At 40.4% G+C, this 15,999-nt stretch overlaps 1 protein-coding gene across 5 annotated transcripts in view, besides 2 other annotated features; it reads right to left on the bottom strand.

Annotated features, from left to right (window-relative positions):
- The window catches only part of MCF2L2 (MCF.2 cell line derived transforming sequence-like 2), a 250,579-nt gene that overhangs the window by 183,692 nt on the left and 50,888 nt on the right, over nt 1-15,999 (bottom strand). The gene's annotated exons all lie outside the window — the stretch shown is intronic.
- Nucleotides 15,624-15,683: a silencer, noted in NCBI's record as "silent region_14938". NCBI's record gives its function as "represses an Ori minimal core promoter by ATAC-STARR-seq in GM12878 lymphoblastoid cells {active_cell/tissue: GM12878}" and the evidence as "EXISTENCE:reporter gene assay evidence [ECO:0000049][PMID:35858748]".
- Nucleotides 15,734-15,783: a silencer, noted in NCBI's record as "silent region_14939". NCBI's record gives its function as "represses an Ori minimal core promoter by ATAC-STARR-seq in GM12878 lymphoblastoid cells {active_cell/tissue: GM12878}" and the evidence as "EXISTENCE:reporter gene assay evidence [ECO:0000049][PMID:35858748]".

Consider the following 15,999-nt stretch of genomic DNA (forward strand, 5'->3'; position numbering starts at 1 on the left):
GTTTTTGCTCTAATAATGGCATGTCTTATTATTTACTATTAAATACTTAAGTGTGAATAAGTATAAGATAATAGCTGTTTATCAGTAGCATGTAAGTTCAGATTCAAGAATAACAGTGATGCCAAACAAGCACAGACTGTCCACATGGGTGGCTGAGAGAGTGACATCTTTGCTTTCTGATGGATCAATGTATACAAACTCTGTTTCATGCACAAAATTATTTAAAATAGTGTATAAAATTACCTTCAGGATATATGTATGTGAAATATAAGTCAATCGTGTGCTTAGACTTGGGTCCCATCCCCAAGATATCTCATTAGGTATACGCAAATATTCCAAAATCTGAAAACATCTGAAATACTTCTTGTCTCAAGAACTTTTTTTTTTTTTGAGTTGGAGTATTGCTCCATCACCCAGGCTAGAGTGCAGTGGTGTGATCTCAGCTCACTGCAACCTCCACCTCCTGGGTTCAAGCAATTCTCCTGCCTCAGCCTCCTGAGCAGCTGGGACTACAGGTGCACACCACCACACCCGGTTAATTTTTGTATTTTTAGTAGAGATGGACTTTCACCACCTTGGCCAGGCTGATCTGGAACTCCTGACCTCGTGATCCACCTGCCTCGGCCTCCCAAAGTGCTGAGATTACAGGCGTGAGCCACCACACCCAGCCTCTTGTCTCAAGAACTTTGGAGAAGAGATAATCTGTACTGAAAAAGAGTTCCAGAGCATCAGGGCACTGACTAGAGAAGGAATCAAAGAGGCATTCTTGGAAAGGCATAGCTTCTGGGAGAGAAAATGAAAAGAAAAGCAAGACAGTGGCTGTCTGGTAAAGGCAAAAAGAAGTAATAGGTACAATTTAGCATCTTACAGGATTAAAAAAAAAAAAAGATGAGGATACAAATCCCTTCCCTTAACCTCTGAAAAAAAAGTTTTTAAGGCCATCTATCAAAGAAACTATGTTTAGATACACTAACAGAAGATGATATATCTTGAACTAGAAATCTTGTAAACCACCCCAAACCACCAGCCCTGTCAATTAAACGCAAGATGCAAGCAGTAGTCATCTACATAAAGCTACTATAAGGAAGAAAAAAAGAAAATTGGAATAAAAAATGTTTACTTTCAGTAGAATAAGAAGACGACACATTTCTTTACGTCTTTATATCTTATAAAGAAATGTTATCTAAAATATACAAAGAACTGTTAAAACTCAACAATAAGAAAATGAACAACCCAATTTAAAAATGGGCAAAAGACCTAAACAGCACCTTACTAAAGAAGATTTACAGATGACAAATAAACATATGAAAAGATGTTCAACATCATATGTCATTGGGGAATTGCAAATTAAAACAACAATGAGATACTACCATATATATATTAGAAAAATCAAAATCCTAAATATTGACAACACCAAATTCTGGCAAAGAGCAACAGGAACTCTCGTTCACTGCTGGTGGGAATGCAACACGGCACAGCCACTTTAGAAGACAGTTGGGCAGTTTCTCACAAAACTACACATGCTCTTACCATAACAAAACTACACATACTCTTACCATAAGATCCATTAATTTTGCTCTTTAGTATTTACCCAAATGAGCCAGAGATGTATATAAACACAAAAACCTGCACACAGATGTTTATAGAAGCTTTATTCATAATTGCCAAAACTGAAAATACTCATGATGCAGACGAATGGAAAAACAAACTGTGGCATGCCAGATACTGGAATATTATTTAGCACTAAAAAGAAATGAGCTTTAAGCCATGAGAAGACATGGAAAAACTTAAATACGTATTACTAAGTTTGAGACCAGCGTGGGCAACATAGGGAGACCCCAACTCTACAAAAAAATAATTAGCCAGGCATAATGGTGCATGTCTGTAGACCCAGCTACTCAGGAGGCTGAGGTGAGAGAATCACTTGAGCTCAGGAAGGTCGAGGCTGTAGTGAGCCATGATTGCGCCACTTTTGAGACCCTGTCTCAAAAGCAGGTAGAAAGAAATACACTTTAAACAGGAGATTTTAATATACTACTTTAAGTACAAGACAGAGCAAAGAGACAATATATCAGTAAAGTTATAAAAGACCTACACGACATAATCAATAAGGAAGATATAATGAATATGTCTTCAGCTTTACATGCCAGTAACAGAGGATTCACCATCTTCTAAAGTACACATGGAACATCCACAGAAATTGATCACAATGTAAGGCCACAAAGAAAATGCTTGAAAATTTTAAAAATTTACTATTAATAACTCTTTGGTAAAGGGAAAATGTAAAGTAAAATTTCAGAATTTCTAAAATGTAATGACAAAGAAAACACTACATATCAGAATTTGTGGGTTTGTTTAAAGCAGTGAATGGAGACAATTCATAGACTTAAACATTTATATCATCAAGATAAATGAATGAAATAAATTATTCACTCATAAATGAGAGAAAATGAAGCAAACCAAACCGAAGAACAGGAAGACAATATTAAAGATAAAGGCAGAGGCCAGGAGCAGGGGCTTACGTCTGTAATCCCAGCACTTTGGGAGGGCGAGGCGGGCGGATCACAAGGTCAGGAGATCGAGACCATCCTGGCTAACACGGTGAAACCCCGTCGCTACTAAAAATACAAAAAAAAAATTAGCTGGGCATGGTGGTGGGTGCCTGTAGTCCCAGCTACTCAGGAGGCTGAGGCAGGAGAATGGCGTGAACCCAGGGGGCGGAGCTTGCAGTGAGCCAAGATCACGCCACTGCACTCCAGCCTGGGCAACAGAGCGAGACTCCATCTCAAAAATAAAAAAAACAAAAGATAAAGGCAGAAATGAATAAGGTAGAGAATGGAAAAACCAATAGATCTAATTAGTAAATCAAATTCCTACTTTTAAAATTAACAAAATAAATTAACCACTAGCTAACTTAAGAAGAAAAAAGAGAAGGGGAGGAAGGGGAAAGCACAGGTACACAAAATAAGAAATGGCAAAAGGAACTGAAGCAAAAAATTAAAAATCCCTAAGAAACGACTTTGCACATCCCTATGCAAAAAAATTTGAAAACCTGGATATAAATAAGTAATTTCCTACGAAAATATAGGTTACTTAAATTAACCTCATCAGAAATGTAAAACTTAAACAGGACCAGTTTAGCTGAACGTTATCAAGGCCCAGATGGTTTCACAGGCGAATTCTACAAAATCAATGACCACATACACATAGTCTCAATGCCACAAAATTGTTTCAGAGCTCTAAAAAATGAAAGAAGACTTTAAAATACTACTTATAAAGCAAGTGTAATATTGATATCTAAACTTAATAAAGACAGTACAGAAAGTAAAATTACTAGTTAAAGGATATAATGGTGGATAGATCCCATTTACAATAGCAACAAGAGATCAAAAACTTAACAATAAAAGTACAAAACTATGTCAGAAAAAAATTGTTAATATTCCTGAAAGACACAAAAGTAGACTTGAACAAATAGAAAGACACTTCTTTTTGATAGGATGATTTTAACACCAGAAAAATTTCACTTTGCCCTACACTGATTTATAAATTTAACACAGTCCCAATGACAAGATCAACAAGTTTTTCTTTTCTTTTTTATGAAGCTAGACAAATAGAAAACAGGAAAGAACAGTTAGGAAAACACTAGAAAAGAAGGCAAAGCTTAAGGGATGGGGAGAAGTGATTAATTTCACTAGATATTAAACAACGTAAATCCACTATAATTAAAAGTTTGTTGCTCATTTATGAATAGACAGACACACCAATTAATTCTCAAGTCACTGAGGCACAGATGGACTTTTAAAATTAATGGTGTTCAGATAACTGAATAGCCATTTTGAGAAAGATAAACTTGGATCTATACTTCATACCAACCACAAACAATCTCATCAGAGCTGACAGTAAAAATAGAAAGCATACTACATTACAGGAAAGCATGGATGAATTACTCTATAAGCTAGATTTAGGAAAGCTTTCTAACAATGACTCAAAATTCAGATACAATAAAAGAAAAATCAATACATTTGATGACATAAAAATTCTTCACGGCAAAAAAACATCCTAAGCAAAGACAAACGACAAATTAAGAAGTGAGAGAAAAACATTTGCAATATACCTCACAGATAAAGGGCTAATACACCAATTACATAAAGAATTCTTTAAAAAAATGAGAGAAAAATAAAAATCAAAAACTCAATAGAATAACGCAAAAACATGAATAGACAATTCAGTACATATATATATGAGTAAAAAGTAAAGTGATAAAGAGATGAAAAATAGAAACAGAAACAGAAAATAGAGTTGAAGGGGAGAAATACTCAAAGAAACAATAGTGAAAAGAATTCTAAGCCTAAGAAAGACTTTATGCAGGTTTGAAGGCCCAGGAGAAAGAAGGAAAAAGGTTTGAAATTTCAAACCTACAACAAAATAAACAGTTTACCTATAAAGAAATGAGACAGATCTTTGTGAGAAGGATTAGCATTGTTATCAGTAACACTGGATGCTACAAATCGATGGATCAATGTTTTTTACATAAAAAAATTCCATTCCCAGCCAAACTACTGATCAAATACGAGGACAAATACAGCCATTTTCAAATGTTCAAGGTACTGTTAAGATTTATTTACCGGCTGGGCGCGGTGGCTCATGTCTGTAATCCCAGCACCGTGGGAGGCTGAGGCAGGCAGGCAGATCACCTGAGATCAGAAGTTCAAGACCAGCCTGGCCAACATGGCAAAATCCTGTCTCTACTAAAAATACAAAACTTAGCTAGGCATGGTGGTGTGTGCCAGTAATCCCAGCTACGCGAGAGGCTGAGGCAGGAGAATCGCTGGAACCCAGCGGGGCAAAGGCTGCAGTGAGCCGAGATCGCACCACTGCACTCCAGCCTGGGCAACAGAGCAAGACTCCGTCTCAAAAAAAAAAAATTATTTACCATACGTGCTTTTGGAAGATAAAATAATTGTTAAGTGTTTCAATGAAAATGAAATCCAAAATAGAGGGGACTTTCCCAGAGACTCAGTGAAAAACACTTCCTGGTTGACAGCTTGCAGTAGATCTAGACAGCAACAATCCTGAATTATAAGAGCAGACCAGAGGGCCTCAAAAGAATATCTTCAAGAAGTAAGTGTATGCATTACACACTCTATAATAAAGAATCTGCAAGATAGTAATAATGCAATAAAGGTATATGCCACTTCTGTAAATAGGGAAAAAAGAAGGGCAATTAGAAATGCCAGGTGAAAATGCACATAAAAAAGTCATTGTCTGACTCTGAAATGAATTAAATTATGGCATGATTTTGAGTAACTGATGGGGTATAAGGAAAGAGAACCCATTTTACTTTACCATTTGTAGCTTCCTCCTTTCAGTGATACAGGTTTAATGACACAGGATTACAACTGTCACTTGAGAGGTCCAATCTATTATGTATACATAATGTACATCACAGAATGCATATAAATGCATTTTAATGATTTCTTTTCTTTCTTTCTTTCTTTTTTTTTTTTTTTGAGATGGAGTTTCTTTCTTGTTGCCCAGGCTGGAGTGCAACAGCGCCGTCTAGGCATACTGCAACCTCTGCTTCCTGGGTTCAAGCGATTCTCCTGCCTCAGCCTCCCAAGTAGCTGGGGATTACAGGCACCTGCCACCACACCTGGCTACTTTTTTTTGTATTTTTAGTAGAGATGGGATTTCACCGTGTTGGCCAGGCTGGTCTCAAGTTCCTGACCTCAGGTGATCCACCCACCTCAGCCTCCCAAAGTGCAGGGATTACAGGCGTGAGCCACTGTGCCCGGCCTACTGATGTCTATTACTTAAAATCAACCTATAGTCAGACAAAAAGAATCTATTTGTAGAATAAATGTAAATACATTCTACATCTTAGCAACATTATATAATAGGCAGAAGAACATGAAGGACAAGCATAGAGAAAGATGGAAACACGTGGTAGAAAATCAACAGATACTATCTAAGGTAGCTGGATCACCAAAAAGAAGTTAAGTATGTTGTTTCAATTAGATCACCAGTATGTGATCTAAAAATAACAATGTAACTAACAAAAATGAGAGAATGAGAGAGAGTGAGGTGAGAGAAAGCATCATAATACGCAAAACTCATTTTTCACAGTAAAGAAACACAAGATACTGTCTAAAGTCGATGAATCAAGAAATACAGACATAAATATGCATGTTAGTATCATGGAGCTAACCACCATTATATCATTTGAAAACTGCATGACATGGTGGAACAGCACTGAGCCAGGGGCCAGAAAATCTAAATCCTAATCAAGCCCTAAGTTTTTCCTTTACCAGCTTGTGAGTTTACCCAAGTTCTTTCTTCATAGTCTTAATATCCACCTCTGTAAATGAGCTTGGACTAGACCAGCAGTTCAAAAAGTGTGTTCCCCAGACCAGCAGCATCAGCATCTCTTGGGAACTTGTTTGAAATGCAAATTATTTGGCCCTACCCCTAGACTTACTGAATCAGAAATCTTAGGTTGGGACCAGCAATTTGTGTCTTAAAAAGTCCTCCAAGTGATTCTGTTGTGTCCTAATGCATGAGAACCACTAATCTAGACCACTGGCCAACAAACTACCATCCATCTGCCAAATCCACCCCACTCTCATCTTTGTAAATAAAGTTTAATTGGAACACAGCCAATTTAAGTATTGTCTATGGTTGCTTTTGAGCTACAACAGTAGGGTTCAGTAGTTGAGGTAGAGGCACTATGGCTCAAAAAGCCTAAAATAGGCCTGGTGCAGTGGTTCACACCTGTAATCCCAGCACTTTGGGAGGCCGAGGCGGGCAAATCACTCGAGGTCAGGAGTTCGAGACCAGCCTGGCCAACATGGTGAAACTCCATCTCTACTAAAAATACAAAAATTAGCCAGGCGTGGTGGCAGGTGGCTGTAATCCCAGCTACTCAGGAGGCTGAGGCAGGAGAACTGCTTGAACCCAAGAGGCAGAGGTTGCAGTGAGCCGAGATTGTGCCACTGCACTCCAGCCTGGGCGACAGAGCAAACAAACAAAACAAAACAAAAGCCTAAAATATTTTTCCTCTCTGGTTCTTTACAGAAAAAGTTGGCCGACCTCTGACCTGGACTACTCTGATTGATAATACTGAATGTACATCATTACTAAATTTGATGCCATGTTTATCATCTCCGTGAGGATGATAATCTTTATGAACCCATGAAATTCATAAAGATTATTCAATCAGAAAGGTATTTGTGCAAATGCTTAGAATCCTTTAAGAAGTGTGTGGACTAATTCTGGCAGTGGTACTAGAATCCTTCCCCATATTCTTGACACAATAGAATAGTAAATAATAGTAAAAAGTCACTTAATAAATAGTGTAAGCTGAAAATAAAATTCTAAGTCCCCCAACTGACCGAATGGACCATCTCTTAGCCAAGGGAACTTCAGAATAACCTTGAAAACCGAGTTCTAGGCCATGATGGAATGAGCAGTCTTACACGCCTCGTTATCCCCCTCCCTTGCTAACCACAATTAGGCTTTCTTCCCTAAGGCTTTCACAGAAACCAGCCCTTTCAAAAGACTCTACCACTGATATTAACCAACCACCCAACACTGCTTCTCCTTTTTTGCCTGATAAGAGGCCACTGATCACAGAGTGGTTCTGGCCAGTCTATGGAGAATGTGCAGTAAGGGTTTTCATGTCTTCTGCTTCCCTTTTTGACATCAGAGGGCCAAATATTCCACCCTCAGATCATGCTAATGCTGCCATTTTTTTGTACATGAGACCCATGAAGGGGCAAGAAGCTCAATTGTGTGTGTGCACGTTTCTCCTTGTATAAATATTCAGACTCTTCCTATAGCTTACTGAAGTATATTTGGCCACCCTGCTCAACATAAATTCCTGTTCCCTCTAGACCCTCTCTTGAAGAGTCCATTTCCAGCTTCTGGCAGGAGGCTATGCTTCCCAGCCTGTCAGAATGGTCACCCTGCAGGTTGGAACTCTTTATGAGAAATAAAGCTCTCCTTTCCAAATTTATGAACCTCCTCATTCTTTAGTTGACAATAGTAAATAAATAGTAAAAAGTCAAGCCCTCTCTGGCTCATAGTCTTGGAAAACTTTCTTGATTGCATAATAAATGTTGAAGGGCGTGGCAAACAGTTGTCTACTCTACATCCAAAGTTTGATTTTAAAAAGGCAACATTCACAAATTTTATAGCTAATCGCTCACCCACTAACTTCTCCAACTTCATCTCAATTCTTCACTGTAACAACCCATATCACATAATAAATAGGAGAGGAGGCTGCTTGTTATGGTATGTGGCTATCATCTTTATAATTGATCATGAGAGTGGCAGGAGGCAGCCAAATGCCCAGGCAGATATGGGCAGGTCCCCGGTGAAACCCCCTCTCCAAGCCGAAGATAGTTTAAAGCCTGAAAGCCAAGCTACAAGTTAAATCCTCAGACCGGATTGAGAACTTGTCTTCCCATTTGTCGAGCTTTCCTGTGATGGATCCCCACCCCTCATGTATTTTACATATACCTACCCTTTCCTAATTGTTCTTCTACACTGTCGTGTGGAACCAGCAGATGCGGATGCAAGCTATAACACAGGTGAGCTGGGCCTCAGTAGTGTGGCCGAGCAATGCCCGGGTGGGGCATCGGGCAAGGCCCAGGGTCTCTGGCTTGCCAAGTGACCAAGAAGAAAAATCATGCATCAAGAATTCCACTAAGACCAAATTCCAGATGTTTACAATCATTAGCACTCATAAATTCAAGCAAAAGTTGTGTTTTGAATTTCTGAAGCAATCTAAATTGAAATGTCGAAAGATGGAACGTGGGTTTCTATCTGAACAAAACAGAATAGATGACGCAAAGGCAGAACAGTGAGGAGGTATTCTAAAACAATCACCCAGGCAAATGAACAAAGAAAAGCCATCATACACATATGAGGTCATTCCACTGGGAAGAAGTAACATCAGACCCCTAGTTTTTAAATAGAGAAGGACAAGAGCCTGGCATATTAACTTTGTTTCCTGCCCTTTACTACAATTTACTTAAATTCTCGTGACATGTAAGACTTACTTGCCAGTGCCACCATTTACTCTTAATAAAACCAAGGAGTGCCTTCTGATTTCAGGCCTCAGTTGGGTGCCCAAAATCTAGCCTCTCTGGTATCCTCCCTGAGGGCTCTGAAGCAAATCTACCCTCCTTGGGCAACACAGCTGCCCACATGACTGTACACTCTGGATTGACAAGTACACTCTGTACTCGTGACTGTACACTCTGGATGTACATCCTGATGAGTCAGATGAATGAATTCATCTCCCTGACCCTTTGAGTCACAGTTCCACAGCCAGTCCAGCGAAAACCACACCTCACCCCAGCTACTCCATCAAAGCAGCACTTTTGCTCGTTAATGTTGTTTAGACACTTGAAAAACAGTATTTTCCATTGCCTTCTGTGAACCCAAAAGTATCTGAGACAGGTCTCAATCAGTTTAGAAAGTTTATTTTGCCATGGGTAAGGTCGCACCTGTGACACAGCCTCAGGAGGTCTTGACAACAAGTGCCCAAGGTGCTGGAGGCACAGCTTGCTCTTATACATTTTAAGGAGACGTGAGACATCAATCTATACACGTAAGATGTCCATTAGTCATTCAGGAAAGGCAGGACAACTCCACGGGTGAGGGGGGTTTCCAGTTCATAGGTAGATAAGAGACAAAAGGTTGCAGTCTTTTGAGTCTCTGAGAAGCCTTTTTTTTTTTTTTTTTTTTGAGACGGAGTCTCACTGTGTCACCCAGGCTGTAGTGCAGTGGGGTGATCTCAGCTCACTGCAACCTCCGCCTCCTGGGTCCAAGCAATTCCCCTGTCTCAGCCTCCCAAGTAGCTGGGATTACAGGCTTATGCCACCAGGCCCAGATAATTTTTCTTTTTTTTTTTTTTTTAAGTAGAGATGGGGTTTCACCATGTTGGCCAGGCTGTTCTTGAACTCCTGACCTCAAGTGATTCACCCTCCTCAGCCTCCCAAAGTGCTGAGATTACAGGTGTAAGCCACCGCACCCGGCCTCTGATTAGCCTTTTACACAATACACAATTTACATGTGAGAAGAGGGTAGAGGAATAGTCACTTATGCCTCAGTTTGGCTTAGTGAAACAGGAGGGCAGAGGAAGCAATCAGATAGGCGTTTGTTTCACAGGGGCAGAGGGATAACTCTGAGTACTGTCCGTCTTTTTTCCACGAGGAATTCCTTGTGGGCAAATTGTGAGGGAGGTATATAGTATTTTTTATCTTTAGGGAGGTATATCGTTTTTTTTTTTTTATCTTTGTAGCTATCTTCTTTAGGAATAAAATGGGAGGCAGGTTTGTCTGATGCACTTCCCAGCTTCACTACCCTTTGGCTTAATGATTTGGGGGTCCTGAGATTTATTTTCCCTTCACACTTCATAATAGTAAGAGGCCCAGATTGCACTCACTTCTCTGACGAGGCTGGTTTCTAAAGCTGAGTAGTTATTATAATCCCACTGAGTCTTTCAATACAAAGGAGTAAGTCTCATCACAATTCACAGGCCAAATAATAACACTATTCTTCTCCTATTCCTTCCTAGAGTACTAATATCAGACCCCATTTTAGGCCACTTATCATAAAAAGAGGACACAACGAACACCAAAGACTATTCATCACACTGTATGTGAGGAAAATGAATGTAGAAAAATTACTCTAACTTAAATAGGTCCCTCAACAGATTCCGTATAGAAAAGTCCTTTAGAAATAGAAACAATCCCAGCCTGGCCAACATGGTGAAACCCCGTCTCTACTAAAAATACAAAAATTAACCGGGCATGGTGTCACGTGCCTGTAGTCTCAGCTACTCAGGAGGCTGAGGCAGGAGAATCACTTGAACCTGGGAGGCGGAGGTTGCAGTGAGCCGAGATTGCGCCACTGCACTCCAGCCTGGGCAACAGAATGAGACTCGGTCTCAAAAAAGAAAGAAAGAAAGAAAGAAATAGAAACAATAACAAAATTAACCATTGATATGAAATACTGCTCTTGTACCATCTAATAAAAGTACTTTCTCCAATCCGTTTCTAATAATGAACCCAGAACTGGAAGTTAAAATAAGGAAACTAAGTAGAGAAACACAGTGATAAATATCCATGCTTAGTTATACAAATGTTGATTTGTAGGACCAACAACTATGATTGAAACGCAGTTAAACTGTCCCATTCTTCAAGGACATTTTGTTAGGGAGGCAGGAGCCTAGGAGACTGAGGGTGACCCAAGTTCAGCTCCATCTCTGTGGCTCAGAATATTTTACTAATGTCTTTTCAGACCATCTGGCTCTACTCTGTAGCCACAGGTGACATGTTTTAAATGACGATATCTTACATTCTGAGAAAGTGACCACTAGGATTTATTGTGCTATTGTTATAAGCTGGACTGTGAAAACCACTAGTAGTACAATTTATATAGCAGACGGCACCTGATGGGCTAAAACTGGCCCTCAGCTGTTTTTGGAAACAGAATAGAGATGTGGTAATGATTTCTGTGTATTTTTGAATATTTATTTATTTTAATACCATAAGATTCATGTGGGAAGGTTTGTAATTCAATAGTTCCTTATGTACAGTACTATACATAATTCACAAAGAAATTCCAGGGTCAAGGAAGCTCAAGAAATTGAATCTTTTTATATATTGATTTTAAGGAAAGAAATACAGAACTGTGATAGCAAAAGTAAAGGACGTGGGAACAGCCCTCCCTCCAACTTTCAATTTCTGCACATTCACTGCCACCTCACTTTATCCAAAAGCTAAGTCGGATTCCAGGTTTTCTTCTTCACACCCCTCAAATGTCTGTTCTGTCTCACCATAGCTTCTCCCTATCCGCTCCTAGCACAGACACTCTCATCCCTGGCTGCACATGGGGATCACCGGTGAGATTTAGACACCGCTGAAAATCCAGGTTTCACCCCGAGAAATCCTGATGTAATTCATCTGAATTATAGTCTGGACATTGGGAATTAAAATCTCCCTAGGCAATCCTAAAATGCAGTTGAGGTCGAGAACCATTGTCTTAGCATGGCTTTGATTAGAAAAAGTTTTAAAATAAATCACGATGAGACCATCAAACCCAAAATGAGGCCTGAATTCCACACAGAATACTCCACACACCAGACTTAGAGTAATACGAGATAATTGTAAGGCTCCTAAAACCAAGCGTCTTCCGTAGCTTCTCCCTCTTCCTCCTTCCCGACCTCCACCAGTCCCCAGTGCCTGTCTTCTTGTCCATCCCTTCCTATCCAGTTCTCATGCCATCATCCCTCTTCGTTTTGCACCTGTCTCAGTGTAGAATCCCCTAATTGGTCTCCCTGCCTCCCTTTCCTGCTCTCTCCAATCCATCCTACACACCACCACCAGATCAATCTGCTCCTCACTCTGCTCCTCAAACCCTCTTGCAGGAAAATGGCCTCTTCCTGCTCACTGTGCCTCAACTCCTTAACTTGGGGGTAAAGGCCTTGCCCAATCTGTTTCCAACTTTTTCCAGCCCTCGTTTCTCAATACTGTCTGAAAAGCAGCCTCACTCTGTTCTGGTGAACTGGGATGCTCTGTAATTCCCCAAATATGCTCTGTTGAAAACTTCAGACCCTGCGTTAGATAGAAATAGAAGCCAGGTCAGCTGGGCGCAGTGGCTCACGCCTGTAATCCCAGCACTTCGGGAGGCTGAGGCGGGCGGATCACAAGGTCAAGAGATTGAGACCATCCTGGCCAACATGGTGAAACTCCGTCTCTCCTAAAAATACAAAAATTAGCTGGGCGTGGTGGTGCGTGTCTGTAATCCCAGCTACTCGGGAGGTTGAGGTAGGAGAATCACTTCAACCCGAGAGGCGGAGGTTGCAGTGAGCTGAGATTGCCCTGCCGCACTCCAGTCTGGGCGACAAGCACGAAACTCCGTCTCAAAAAAAAAAAAAAAGAAAGAAAGAAAGAAAGAAAAAATAGAAGCCATGTCATTTGCCCCAGACCACCTAGCTAGTGAGCAATAGGATCTGGATTTCAATCCAGGTTTGGGCTGTGTTCAAAGCTCTTCAACACTATCCTTTTCTCTCTCTGGAATGCTCCCTTCTGTATCTATCTGTAGCAACTGTACCATCCCCTCAAGGACATTTTGTTAGGGAGGCAGGAGCCTAGGAGAGTGAAAGTGACACAATTTTAAGTTCAGCTCCATCTTGAGAGTAACAAGGCACATTCCTTGCCAACCAGGACCCATGGTCATAAGATGTTTATGGTTGAGAAAACAGCCTAAGGATACTACAACAACAGAAAGTCCAGATGTCCCAATACCATAACAATATATGTTTTCAAAAAATTATAGTTATGCTTTGATGTTCTCACACACTAAAATGTCAAGGATAGTTTTCTTTAAATCAATAGAATAATAAGTTTTGTCACACTGTCTGCCCATCCGCACATAGGCACAGCTTAGTTTAATCTTTATATAGACAAGATCCCTATATAAGAAAAACTTAAAGTCAATGCGTTCCTCCTTTTGCTTTCTGAGGGCACCCTACTCTGTAACAGTAGTTTCTAATAAGCTTGCTTCTTTCACTGCATTTTGTGACTCTCCTTGACTTCTTTCCCACATAAGATCCAAGAACCCTCTCTTACAGGTCTGGATTGAAACCCCCTTTTTTCCTGAAGTTTTCCCTTTTTTTCCTGTCGAAGTGACTTTCTGTTTTCTGAGCTCCTATAGCACTTTGTTTACATATTTCACAAAAGATATTGATAACAGAGTCATGTAATGAGTTTCCTGCGGTCTGAGACATCGTCTTGAGGTTTTTCAGTCCTTTACAGCATCGTACACCGCACCCTACATGCTGTGGGCTCTCATAGAGGTCTGCTGAAGAATGAATTACTGTGGGAAGCCTTTCTGTACCTGCCCAACCCACTCACAATGCGAGATCCTAATTAATTTCAGGCACAAAGATAGCATTTCCCAACCCCAAGTATCCTGCCATTTTCCTATTCTAGTGTATCAATTCTTTTTTATCCATCCACGAGCCCTCTGCCACCTGTCTATAAAACATTTTGCAATTGGGAAGGACTCTGGTACTGGATAACTATGTAACGTACAAAAAGATGCAAATTGTGATAAACAGGAGTCATAAAACGAACAAGGGTGGTTTCATTCTTTGAAATCTGACATGGAAATTAGACATAGGTCCAAGTCAAGTTCCCCTTTCAGGCCTTCTCACCCTTTGTCTCCACTTTTTGTGGAAAGGAACAGGGGAGGGGCAGCAAGTAGTGTGAGCAAAAGCGGAAGAAGAAAGGCGAGGGGAAGAACTGGCCAGACAGCCACTCTTTCCCGAAAGACAAACAGCATTCTAGGAAAAGAAAATATTCCCTAGGTCACAAGAAATTGTACCAGGAGCCTACAGTAGAACAAAGAAATCCAAAACAGAAGCCCCTGTTTGATCTCCTCATCTCCATCTGTGAGATAGGGGTGATAACCCTGCCTGCTTCTTGCCACACAGTCCGGGGGGCTGAGCTATCTTCAGCGTGATTTGGAAAAGGCTGCAAATGCAAAAGGAAAATCCTCCATTTAACTTAGCATTTGACTGTATCCCTGGGGATTAAGTAAAACTAGACATCGAATTTAAAACAAATATAAGGAGAATGGGGACAGGGGACACTCCTCCTATTGTCTACATCCCTATTCACCCTCTTCCTTGCCGCTCCCACAGAAGTTGCTAAACTGATGGGATATTGTCCTGAAATGCCACTGGGCCAAAGACAGAGTTCAAGTTCAACTTCTTAAAACCCAGGTTGATAAAGGCAGGAATGAAGAGCTGGGGTTCCCCTCCGTCAGGGTCCCCCTTCTCACTGTAGGAATGGAAAAACTTCACCTCTATTGTCTTAGGGTCCTGGCTGGGTCCAAGAGTTAAATCGACAAAACACAGATTAACATGAGAAAAGCATAGACATTTATTCATAAATGTTTTACATGGCACAAGAGCCCTCATAAAGAAATGAAGACCCAAAGAATCAGTTAGAGTCAGTTACTTCTATACTGGATTGAACAAAGAATAATAAACTATGAAAATGTGACTAAATTATGTGGGGAAGCTTAAAAAATAGAATTTCTAACAAGGTCTGTGCAATATTCTCTAAGTTACCTTTCCTTCTAGTCCCTAGAGAGTGTCTTTCACATAGGAATTCCATCTTCTCCTCTTAAGAAACAGCACAAAGGTCAAAGTGATATTCTTGTACCTGCTGTTTTTCAAGTGCTTTTAACTTAAATAGTCAATATTCCAGAATGGCATTTTTAAATTTTTACTTTAAGTTTTGGGATACATGTACAGAACATGCAGGTTTGTTACATAGGTATACATGTGCCACAGTGGTTTGCTGCACCTGTCAACCCATCATCCAGGTTTTAAGACCCGCATGCATTAGGTATTTGTCCTAATGCTCTCCTTCCCCTCGTCCCCGACCCTCCAACAAGCCCCGGTATGTGATGTTCCCCTCCCTGTGTCCATGTGTTCTCATTGTTCAACTCCTGCTTATGAGTGAGAACATGTGGTGTTTGGTTTTCTGTTCCTGTGTTAGTTTGCTGAGGATGATGGCTCCCAGCTTCATCCATGTCCCTGCAAAGGACATGAACTCATTCTTTTTTATGGCGCATAGTACAGAATAGCATATTTTAACCCCTTCATCACCCTACAACAAATACCATTTGTTTGGAATGACTCATTATCAAAACTGAAAACTCTACCAACATTACTTTTGAGAACCAACCAGGTGTTGGGCACTGTGCTAGGGCTGGAGATTTTAAAAACGAAAGAGAAGAAAAGCAAAGCATTGGCCCCTACTCTTAAGAAGTTCACAGTCTACTGGGAGAGGCAGAAATAATTTCCATAGACAAATAACTTCCATAGGCAAAGGTAAACCTCGGGGTTCTGTGGAAATTTAAAAAAAGACTCTGTGAAAGCAGAACTGGGGTGAAGGAAGGTTTCATCGAAGA

Source organism: Homo sapiens, chromosome 3 (assembly GCF_000001405.40).
Source record: "Homo sapiens chromosome 3, GRCh38.p14 Primary Assembly".
Classification (NCBI taxonomy): domain Eukaryota; kingdom Metazoa; phylum Chordata; class Mammalia; order Primates; family Hominidae; genus Homo; species Homo sapiens.